The sequence below is a fragment of the Homo sapiens genome, chromosome 17, assembly GCF_000001405.40.
Source record: "Homo sapiens chromosome 17, GRCh38.p14 Primary Assembly".
Classification (NCBI taxonomy): Eukaryota; Metazoa; Chordata; class Mammalia; order Primates; family Hominidae; genus Homo; species Homo sapiens.
Window position 1 is genome coordinate 74,247,695 of NC_000017.11, and position 11,854 is coordinate 74,259,548.

At 54.7% G+C, this 11,854-nt stretch overlaps 1 protein-coding gene across 3 annotated transcripts in view; it reads left to right on the forward strand.

Moving 5' to 3' along the window:
• The window catches only part of TTYH2 (tweety family member 2), a 48,450-nt gene that overhangs the window by 34,124 nt on the left and 2,472 nt on the right, over window positions 1-11,854 (forward strand). For 2 of the 3 annotated variants that reach the window (NM_032646.6, NM_001330453.2), the window contains exons 7-13: window positions 1,317-1,386; window positions 1,650-1,705; window positions 2,242-2,334; window positions 2,571-2,663; window positions 4,540-4,682; window positions 5,387-5,572; window positions 6,061-6,139. In NM_032646.6, the coding sequence (NP_116035.5) occupies window positions 1,317-1,386; window positions 1,650-1,705; window positions 2,242-2,334; window positions 2,571-2,663; window positions 4,540-4,682; window positions 5,387-5,572; window positions 6,061-6,139 (720 nt within the window). Of the gene's footprint in view, window positions 1-671; window positions 1,387-1,649; window positions 1,706-2,241; window positions 2,335-2,570; window positions 2,664-4,539; window positions 4,683-5,386; window positions 5,573-6,060; window positions 6,140-11,854 lie in introns of those variants that run through there. The other variant, NM_052869.1, reaches the window with a different exon arrangement.

Here is an 11,854-nt window from a genome sequence, read left to right on the forward strand (position 1 = left end):
CTCTGTCACTCCAGCCAGGGGGTGGGGGCACACCACCAGGCCTGCTGGCGCCGCAGCTCTGATAGGTAATAATAGGCCAGGTTGATGTATTATGAATGCTGGTGGTTTGTGTATAAAGCATTTCTCCCAGGGTCTTAAGTGCGTGCGTGCGTGCGTGCATGCGTGTGTGTGTGTGTGCGCGTGCGTGCATGTGGGGCTCTCGGGAAGCTCTGTATCTGGAGGGGTGTGTTATTCCGCACCCTCGCTATACACACATTTTCTAGACCGTAAGTGCTGTGATGCACTAACCTCTAGGTGCTAGAACCCTGCACGGCACTGAGTAAGTACTCCATAAATGTCTATCAACTTAGCAAGTTAGTGAGTGATGCTCTATTGTGGACCCCTGAGGCAGTGGCTCCTGAAGGAGGACGGGGCCACCGGCAGAGCAGGGCACTCAGAGGGGTCCCCTGCCCGGGGAGCATGTGCCAGAGGAGGGGGACATCCCTAAGGAACAGGCCAGAGGACCTGAGCTCTCCCTGGCTGCTCTGGAAGGCGGAGGCCCCCCAGTTTATCCAGTCCCTAGAGCACCCCAGGCCAGATCTGGGGTGCGCCTGGCTTGGAGGCCATGTCCTTGCTGCCGCCTCTCCTGGGGCCTGCGTCTGCTCCCACCCTGCCGCATGGGCCTTAGCAATCACTTAGCCAGGCCGTGCTGTGGGGCCAGGTCCTCCAGCTCATAAGTGGCAGCCGCCTCTCAGCTCCATGCCCTTCCCACCCCATGTCTTGGCAGGTGAGCACCTGCACCCAAGGCTCACAGATGCTTCAGCACCAACCTCATTCTTTAGAAAGAGTTTGGGGGAGGCTTCATAGATTGAACACCCGTCCCTGTAGCACTTGATCATAGCAAGACAAAATGTAAAACAGCAGATGAGGCCATGGTGTAACGAACTCCCACACACACAGCCTGCAGCTGCCCTGGGGCCCAGGATGCTGGCCCCCAAAGGTCTGTCCCAGAAGAGGCATTCGGGAATAAGAGTAACAGCATGCGCTCTGCCCCAGTCACTTTTCTGAGCACTTTACTTGCATTGGGTGAATAGCATTATCATCTCCATGTCACAGATGAGGCAACCGGGGCACAGGAAGAATAAGTAACTTGTCCAAGGCAACAGAGCTAGGAAGGGGCAGAGCCAGGTTTGAACCCAGGAGGCTGGCTCCAGACTGTCCTTTGCCACCTGGGAGGGAGCTCAAGGGGCTGGGGTGATGGGCTCCCGGCTCCTCCCAGGGCCCCGCTGTCCTGATACCTGATTTTCCTCCACCCCGTCCCTCTCTCCCTCACTCAGGCCACCAGTGACTTCTGTGTGGCTCCTGACACCTTCATCCTGAACGTCACGGAGGGCCAGATCAGCACAGGTAACTACACACTCTCAGGCTGCTGCTGTGGATGCATAGGTGGCCGGACTCTGTGCCCCTACTTACCTCTTTCAGCCCTGTAGCCATCCAACCCCTCCTCAACCCTGAACTTCAAGTCCAGCTCATGCTCTAGGCCATTTCCTAGAAAGTGCCTCCCTTGGGAGCTCAGGGACGGGGAGGGAGGTCTGGCTTGGCCACCAAGGATGATAGAGATCTCATCTGGTCATTTGTGAGCTGCCTAACGTTATGCCGTTGCCCTGCAGAGGTGACTCGCTACTACCTGTATTGCAGCCAGAGTGGAAGCAGCCCCTTCCAGCAGGTATGGCCCCCCGAGGCCTGCCCTCACCCTGCCCACAGCCGCTCCCCCTTGACCCTAAGCCTCACCACTGACCAAGATGGCGGAGGTGGCAGGGCCTTGCTTGCCTCACTGTGGTCCTCTCCTTAGCTGCTTCTGTGAGGGGGGCGTGCTTTTGGTCGTGGGTTCTAGATTGGTGGTTAACACATATGCAGCTCAATGCGGGAGCTAGTTCCCATGCAGATGCTGTCCAGGAGCTCTGGGGTGGGGCCGAGATTCTGTACTACTCACAAGCTCCCAGGTGAGGCCAGGGCTGCTGGTCCAAAGACCACATCTGAGCTGCAAGCAGGGAGAAGACTGTGCAGCTCTCAAGAAGCCAGAGGAGTAGGGGGAGACTTCCTGCAAGTGGAGGGGCCTGTGCAGCTGCAGCCAGGTGGGGGGGTGGGAGGGGCAGGAGCATAGGCCCCTCAGCCACTGTGGGGCTCCTGGGAGACGGAGCCTCACTGTGGGGCTCCTGGGAGACGGAGCCTCACTGTGGGGCTGTGTCTTTCCTGGCTCAGACCCTGACCACCTTCCAGCGCGCACTTACCACCATGCAGATCCAGGTCGCGGGGCTGCTGCAGTTTGCCGTGCCCCTCTTCTCCACTGCAGAGGTAAGGCAGCTGTGCAGGAAGAGGGGAGCCCCAGATGAACCCTGACAGCCCTTTCCCCTGCCCCGGCCCCAGGGCCAGGCTGTGCACAGCTTGCTGCTGGCTCTCTGTTCTCCCGCCCCCGTGACTCGGCTCCCTCCCTTGGCTCTAGAGGCCCCTGAGCACAGCTGCTGTGGTGGTTTTCTCCGCCAGCTCTCCTCCACAGCCCCTCGGCCTCTCTCGCTCTCTTCCCGCTTCAGGAAGACCTGCTTGCAATCCAGCTCCTGCTGAACTCCTCAGAGTCCAGCCTTCACCAGCTGACCGCCATGGTGGACTGCCGAGGGCTGCACAAGGTGCATGGGGACCCTGGGGTCACGTGGAGAGTGTGAGGGCACCCAGCAGGCCACACCTTCCAGAGAAAAGCCGGTAGAGGCCGAGGGGAGCGATGGCCTGGGTCCCCTTCCGGCCCAGGAATGGAACTGAAGCCAGATAATGGGAAGGGAGGGGGTGCCTGGCTTCTCCAGGGGCTGAGACAGGGAGACTCAGTACAAGGGACCAGGGGTTCGGGATGGGAGGGTTGGATGCGGTTGGCTCTGGGTCACTGGGGGACCCTGAACAATGCAAGGGAGGCTGTTCCCCATTGTCCAGACTCCTAGCCATTTCCTCAACACATCTGTCTCCCTGGGTTGCAAGTGGATGTCCCAATCCCATTGCCAGAGTCTTCTTTCCAGGAACTTGGAATATCAGACAGACACAATGATGCAGGGAACACATGGGGAGCACGTGAGAGCCCCCCACCCAAAAGCAGTGAGCCAGTGTATGGCGACAGCTTTCACATCCCAGATGGATTTAGTGCAGACAGTCTTTGTCATCATCACAGCTGTCAGCTCCATGCTTGGCCCTGTTCTGTGCATTTTATATCCAGTATGTCATTCAGTTCTCACAGTTATACTGTGAACCACACGTTATTTCCTAGGAAATTGACTTGCTTGTGCGTGTGTATGGATAGATCCATAGATACAGCTATGTGTGTGTGCACGTGCGTGTGTCTGTGTGTGTGTGCGTGTGTGTGCACTTGTGGTGTATATGTCTGTGCGTGTGTGGTGTGTTTCTGCGGTTGTGTGGGTGCACATATGTGATGTGTGTATGTATGTGTGTGGTATGTGCATGCTTGTGCGCATGTGTGCTGTGCATGCGTGTGTGTGGTGCATGTGTATGTGCCTGTATGTGTGTGTGGGGTGTGTGGTGTGTGCGTGTGTGTGGTGTGTGCATGTCTGTGATGTGTGTGGTGTGTGTGCATGTGTGTTGTGTGCACATGTGTGCACATGTATGTGGTGTGTGTGGTGCATGTGTGTGTGCATGTGGGGGGTGCATGTGTGTGGGGGGTGTGTGTGCGTGTATTTATAAAGTGGCTTACTGAAGAGTCCCGAGTTGGCACATCAGGGGCTTGGGTTTAGATCCTGGTAGTCTGACCTCAGAGCTAAGAACATGGCAGTCACCCCTGTCTCCTCTCTTCTTCCCCTTCTACATCTAATCCCCAGCAAGTCTTGGCAGCTCTCCTCTCAGCTGTACCCTGAATCCATCCATTTCTCTTTCTCTCCATGGCTTCCACCACGATCCGGTCCTGCCCCTCCAGCAGACAGTGGCCTCTTCCCACTTTCTCTTGCCCCCTCACCACCCATGAGCTTTCACACATGCAACCAGAGCAGTCCTTTTGCAGACTAGGTTGGATCACATCCCTTCCACTCCCACACCCTCCAATGTCTTTCTGACTCCTTTTAAAAGTCCGTACTCCTCTCCCGCATTGCAAGGCCCAGCACGACCCAGCCCCTGCTGGCCTATGTTCTCTCTCTTTCCTGAACAGGCCAAGCCTGTCCCCTTTGCCCCCTCTTCTCAAGGTGTGCTGCTTCTTGCCATCCTGGCCTCAGCTTCAGTGCCCCCGTCTCTGGTTCCCCACCCTGCAACCTCCTCCGCCCTGTTCAGAGCCAGCTTCTTAGTGCCCAGCTCACAGTAAGTGCTCAGCAAATGTTTCCAGCGTGAACCCAAGAAGCCCCATTGTGTTAGGCTCCAGAGTGTGGACCTTTAATGGTGCTGCAAGGCGCTCGGGATGGGGAGCAGCCAGGAGACCCCAGGTCCAGGCTCGGGGGAGAGGGACTTCCAGAGGAGAGCTCGGCCCGCAGGCTTTGCCCCCGCTCCTTCACTAGCTGCATGTCCCTCCTCTTCCTCCAGGATTATCTGGACGCTCTTGCTGGCATCTGCTACGACGGCCTCCAGGGCTTGCTGTACCTTGGCCTCTTCTCCTTCCTGGCCGCCCTCGCCTTCTCCACCATGATCTGTGCAGGGCCAAGGGCCTGGAAGCACTTCACCACCAGGTGGGCTGCCTAGTAAGGAGGGGAGCCTCCCACAGCCTGGAGTTCTGGGAGAGCAGCAGACAGGGGCCTCTGCTCTACGATTTAGCTGATAACCCAGGACTGAGGAGGGCAGCAGAGGGCCCGGGCATTCAGCCCAACAGGCTGGCTGACTTCTACAGAAGCTTCCCCAAGAGTCCACACAGACCCTCCAAAGGAGTTCGGTGGGGCCCAGAGCAAGAGCTGGGGCCCAGGGTGGTGACAGCCCTCAGGCCACAGTCTGGCCTCCCTTCTCCTCTCTTCTCACCAGGACTTTGCGATCTGGAATGAGGAGAGTTCTTGGTGCTGGGAGGGGTGCCCCAGGAATAGCAAGAAGGATACATGGGGTCACTGTTTTCAGGGAGCCTGCAGTCCCCTTGAGGAGATGGGCAGGGACACATGGTGTACAGGCACCTGGTGAGCGGATTAGGCAAGAGGACGCAGGGTAGTGGGGACCCACATGCGCATGGTCAGCGTGGTGGGGAGCCTGGAAGAGCTGGTCGTGAAGCTGGGAATGGGCCAGAATGATCTGCAGGAGGCAGGCTGGGGACCGCGTTTTAGAGGAGTCTCAAGGAGACACGCGTGGCCAGAGAGTCCTGGGAGGAAAGGCAGGGAAGTAGGACAGGACCTGGCTGCCTCGGAGCCTCCTTCACCCTTCACAGCCGGCCATCTTCTACCCATTGTTCTAGAAACAGAGACTACGATGACATTGATGATGATGACCCCTTTAACCCCCAAGCCTGGCGCATGGCGGCTCACAGTCCCCCGAGGGGACAGCTTCACAGCTTCTGCAGCTACAGCAGTGGCCTGGGAAGTCAGACCAGCCTGCAGCCCCCGGCCCAGACCATCTCCAACGCCCCTGTCTCCGAGTACATGTACGGCCTGCACACACACCCAGGCTGGGTAGCACTGCCCGGACAGCATGTTGGGTGGGGTCCACAGTGCCGGGTGTGGGGAGGAAGGCATCCAAGGCCACCCGTGGTCCCCACTACAGCCACAGGGTGCCTGGAGGGAAGGCCCCCGGGGAGCATCTAGTCACCCCTCCACACCCACATGTGCTGGGGGAAGAAACCACTGATGTCAGCAGCCTCTGCCACAAGCTGGTGGGACAGGTCTCAGGCCCAAAAAGCTGCATTTCTCCAGGCCATGCTGCTCCCAGCCTCCGTTGCCCATCAGCCACTTGTCCCCAGGCTTCCCAAGGTGCTCTTCTCCATATCTGCCCACTGCACCCCCTCCACTCTATCTGTGGTTTGGTTCCATCCCCCACCTCCCATGTGCTCACCCATGGGACCCTCCTGTAGAAATCTACACACACCCCCACTCCCACACCATCCCCTCCTGAGCTCTCCTCTCATCCCCGCAGGAACCAAGCCATGCTCTTTGGTAGGAACCCACGCTACGAGAACGTGCCACTAATCGGGAGAGCCTCCCCTCCGCCTACGGTAATTGGGGCTCTGGCCCTTCCTTGTTGGGGTAATACATAAAGACAAAACCTCCTGCCAACCCAGTGAATCCTGTCCACAAAGGCAGAAAAGAATGAAACTGTTCTGTTATTGAATATGCACTAAACCAGACCGTCGTGGGTATCCCAGGCAGTCCGCTAAGGAGATTGCAAAGATGCAAGAAATCTCACTCCTTCCCCTAGCCAGGCAGGAACAAGACACAGCCCACTGCATACCTGTCATCCAGCAAGAGGACTTGACGGCACTGTTTGTCACAGTAGTCCACCTTAATCCACTTGCTAATTGGGGTGGCCATCCTGGTTAAGTAATTGCCTTTATTTATTTATTTATTTATTTTTTGAGGCAGAATCTCACTCTATTGCCCAGGCTGGGGTGCAGTGGCGCAATATCGGCTTACTGCAACCCAGGTTTCAAGCAATTATCCTGCCTCAGCCTCCCAAGTAGGTGGGACTACAGGTGCGTGCCACAACGCCAGGCTAATTTTTGTATTTTTAGTAGAGATGGGGTTTCTCCATGATGGCCAGGCTGGTCTCAAACTTCTGACCTCAGGTGATCCACCCGCCTCGGCCTCCCAAAGTGCTGGGATTACAGGCATGAGCCACCGCGCCCGGCCAGCTAATTGCCTTTATCCAGAGGAAAAATAAAACTCCTATTTCCGTGACAATCAGATAGCTACAACTTGGAGCCAGGCCCCTAAGTGAACTGTCACTGAGAAGGAGATGAGGTGCTGTCTTCCTGATGTTTGTACTTCCAAGAGATGGCTCCCAGACCTGAAAAAACCATACCTGGATTGTAACACTGGCAAGGGCCATATTCAGCCTTTAAGAAGGTTTGCAGACATCTCAAAAGACAGAAATTATTTACAATGATAAGTTTTCTAAAGGAAATACTGCAAGAAGAGAGGGGGTCTCTTTCCCTTTTTGCTCCAGAGAAAATTAAGGAATTTTTTTTCTTTTTAGATTTCTGTTTACCTTAATCCTTGGTCTCTTTTGGGCTGGACGGTGGGTTGGCTGTGGTGGCGGGTCTGGGAGGGCTGAACCCAAACACAGCCTTCCTCAATCCGTCTCAGCTCCCCATGTCCCTAGGACTGTGCCCAAGTAGGGCCAGTGCCTCTTGTCCACCCCACCACCTCCAGCCAGAGTACCTGAGATACAGCCTCAGGGGAGTAGCTCAGGGTGGGCAGGTTGAGAAGGAAAGACTATGCTGTCTCATCCCAGAGAAGTATCCAAAGGACACAGAAATACTGGCTGAGACAAAGAAAGCTGTAAACAGACAGTGAAGTGACCGCCAAGGTTCAGGGACACGGACTCCAGTGCCAAAGGCCTGGGTTCAAATCCCAGCTCATGGCTTATGGCCTCTGTGACTTTGGACAAGCACTTTGCTGCTCTGTGCCTCAGTTTCCCCATCTATAGAATGAGTATGGGAATACTAGCACATTCCTCCTCGGTGGTGTGTGCAATGGGCAAATTGATTGTTATCAGAGCGTACGTGCGAAGCATCCAGTGAGTGCCGTAGGACAGTGAGCTGTTATTTGTGACTTTCTTCCACCCCACCTTCTCCACAGAGCTGTGGCATTTATCAATTTTATTTTATTTTTTATTTTTTATTTTTTTTTGAGACGGAGTCTCACTCTTCTGCCCAGGCTGGAGTGCAGTGATGTCATCTCAGCTCACTACAACCTCCACCTCCCAGGTTCAAGTGATTCTCCTGCCTCAGCCTCCCTACTAGCTGGGATTACAGGCATGCACCACCACACCTGGCTAATTTTTGTATTTTTAGCAGAGACAGGGCTGGCTGGTCTTGAACTCCTGACCTCAGGTGATCCACCCATCTTGGCCTCCCAAAGTGCTGGGATTACAGGCATGAGCCACCGTGCCCGGCCAGAGCTGTGGCATTTATAAGAAAGGACAAGGGGAATGAAAGGCCAGAAGTCTGCCATGGGGTGGGCAGAAGGGTCCTGGAGCCAGGCATCTCCCTTCATTGGGCCTGGCGAGGCATTTCAGTGCCCCGACCCAGATAGTTTGGAAGGGGACATCCAACAGGAAAGCAGAAGCACTGGGGCCCAAATACCTGGGACCAGCGTGATAGACCTGGGCCCTGAGGACCCAGGAAGTGCACGCACAGGCACCCAGGGAGTCAGCTTCCCGGTCATGGCGCTTGGTGAAAATCATAGTGTCAGACCCGAGAAAAGAGCAAGTGGAACCCAGTCCCTGTCTTCAGGAAGTTCCAGTCTATAGAAGGGGCACTCAAGAAGGCTGCCTGTAGAAAGTGCTACAAGGTACTTTGGGACCAGAAAGAAGGAGCCATCTTTGCTGCTGCTCTAGGGGATTCCAGAAGGTTCTATTTAATAGGTGGCGTTTGAGCCACAGTGTAGAGCAGGGGCTCACCCAGGGGCAGTTTTCCCCCCTGGGGACATTTGGCAATGTCTGGAGGCATTTTCATTACCACGCTTGGAGGCTGGGGATGGGGGCTGGATGCTATTGACATCTAGGGAGTGGAGCACCCACCACAAAGCACGGTGCAGCCCCAAATGCCCATAGGTTATGGGGCCTGTCCTCTGCGTGTGGGATGTTCAGCAGCATCCCTGGCCTCTACCTGCTAGCAAGCCTGCTGGAACCAATCCCCCTGTCATTCACTCCTGTGCCACCACCTTGGTGCTTTTGCCTGGAGCACCTCACCTGCTGTCCCATCCCACAGCTTTACAAACACAAGCCCCAGCCTCATGTCGTTCTTTCTTCCTGGGGTCCCCGGGAGTGGGCTGGTTGAACCTGTATTCAAAGTCAGCACCATTTATTATTTATGTTTATTTTTTTGAGACAGAGTATCACTCTGTGACCTAGGCTGGAGTACGTGGTGCAATCTCAGCTCACTGCATCCTCCACCTCCTGAGTTCAAGCAATTCTCATGCCTCAGCCTCCCAAGTACTTGGGACTATAGGCACGTGCCATCACACCCAGCTAATCTTTGCATTTTCAGTAGAGACGGGGTTTCGCCATGCAGGCCAGGCTAGTCTCTAACTCCTGGCCTCAAGTGATGCACCTGCCTTGGCCTCCCAAAGTGCTGGGGTTACAGGCATGAGCCACCACGCCCAGCCTAAAAGTCAGCACCTTTTAAATGCCAGCCTAGCTTCTCTCACTAATCAGAAGCCTCCCGGGTTCCTTTTTCCAACCACCAGCTGCCGTGGCCCCAGGAATGCAGATTGACTTTAATATTAATCTAAGCACAACGTAATTAGGGGAAATCTGCTGTGAAAAAAGAATTACTCTATGCACTGTGATGCCAAATAAAAATGATTTTCAGATTCCCTTCTGTTTGAAAGATCCAGGCCACTCATCCTGCCGTTAGCAGAGATAATCAGCAACTGACCTTATTTGCAAGGCTCAAGGACAGAAAACCCTTCCTCCCTAGATTTAAGACCTGCCCAGAAACACTTATTGCTTTGGCCAAGTTGACTGCCCAGTCCCACCTAGCCCAGCCTGCCCTGGGAAGACCCTTCCACCTCCATGCCCGGTAAGGGACCTAGAGAGACATCTAATGATGCCGCAGACCAAGGAACCCCACAGCATGGAGGGTGTGGGTGTCTGCCCCAGTAAAGACAGCACAGCTGGCTGCGCCCCACCCTCCCCGGGGCGCCTGCTCTAAACACTCCTTAGCACCGAGCAAGTTCGAGAGGTGGATAAACTCCTCCCTCTGCCGAGCACCCTCTCTGGGACAGTCAGGGGACCTCACTGGGTGGGTGATGTCACGCCTGGTGATCGGGATATACAGCCTGTCCCTTGCTGGAAATGTTTCTTCCCCCAGCTCTGCCTTCAAGGAATAATCTCTCCTGTCCTTTTAGGCACTGTTTCTTGGACTTGATGAACAAAAATGACCCAGGGCAGTTAAAGATACTGACGTTGAGACTTCTCTTCAGACTTACAGAAACAGAATATCTTGGGGAAGGAGCCTGGGAGATTCTAAGTTTAACAAACTTATTATCATTCAAGTTGGGAAATATTGCTTTAAGAAGGAGGGTCTTGGCCAGCACCATGCCTCATGCCTGTAATCCCAGCACTTTGGGAGGCCAAGGCAGGTGGATCACTTGAGGCCAGGAGCTCGAGACCAGCCTGGTCAACATGGTGAAACCCCGTCTCTACTAAAAATACAAAAATTAGCTGGGCATGGTGATGGGTGCCTGTAATCCCACCTACTCGGGAGGCTGAGGCAGGAGAATCACTTGAACCCAGGAGGCGGAGGTTGTAGTGAGCTGAGATTGCACCACTGCACTCCAGCCTGGGTGACAGAGTGAGATTCTGTCTCAAAGAAAATAAAAAAGAAGAAGGAGGGTCTCATACTTGCGTATGCATCAGAATCGCCTGAGGGACCCACCCTGTTTCTGATTCAGAAAATCTGAGTTGGAGCCTGGAGATGTGCCTTTTTTGTTTTTTTGAGACTGAGTTTCACTCTTGTTGCCCAGGCTGGAGTGCAGTGGCATAATCTCGGCTCACTGCAACCTCCGCTCCCCAGGACCAAGCGATTCTCCTGCCTCAGCCTCCTGAGTAGCTGAGATTACAGGCCCCCACCACCACGCCCAGCTGACTTTTTGTATTTTTAGTAGAGACAGGGTTTCACCATGTTGGCCAGGCTGGTCTTGAACTCCTGAGCTCTGGTGATCCACCTGTCTCGGCTTCCCAAAGTGCTGGGATTACAGGTGTGAGCCACCGTGCCTGGCCGGAGATGTGCGTGTCTGACATATTCCTAGGTAAAGCTGCTGCTGCTGCCCTGGAAACCACGCTTGGAGAACCACTGCTCTGAGGCCAGCTTCTTCAGCCTCAGTGCTATTGATGGGCAGCGTCATTCTCGGTGGGGGGTTCCTGTACATTGTAGGACGTCTAGCAGCATCCCTGGCATCTACTTGCTACATGCCAGTGGCAGCCCAGTGCCCAGTTGTGACAACCAGAATATCTCCAGACATTGCCTAATGCCCCTGGGAGGTAAAAACATCCCTGGTTGAGACCCACTGGGTCGAAAACCTCATGCTCCCTCCTCCCCAACCCCAGCCCAAGTGGAAGCATTCCATTCCCCCTGATGTGAATGGCCTGGACCCCTGAAGCTTCCCGGGTCAGGAGAGTGGCAGTTTCTGGAAGCTTGTTAGAAGTGCAGAATCTCAGGTCCTGTGGACAAGATCCCCAGGTAGCCTGTGTGCAGGGTATAGAGTGAAAGGCCCTCTCCACTGCCAAGGACGAGTAACTAAGTTCTGTCAGGCACCTACTCTGTACTGGGTCATGCTCCTCCAACTTGAATGCACACTGGAATTGCCTAAAGAGCTCTAAAAACACTGATAGCTCTTTAAATTCATTTTATGTTATGTGTGTGGTCTTTGTTTTTTTTTAAGAGAGAGGGTCTCGCTCCGTTGCCCAGGGTGAAGTGCAGTGGTGTGATCTTAGCTTGCTGCAACCTCCACCTCTTGGGCTCAAGTACCTTCTCCTCCTGCCTCAGCCTCCCAAGTGGCTGGGACTACAGGTGCATGCCACCATGCCCAGCTAATTTTTTGTATTTTTGATAGAGACAGGATTTTGCCATTTTGCCCAGGCTGGTCTCGAACTCCTGGGCTCAAACGATCCTCCTGCCTCTGTCTCCTAAAGTGCTGGGATTACAGGTATGAATCACCACCGTTATGTGCATTTTGCATCAACAAAAATATACATATTTATA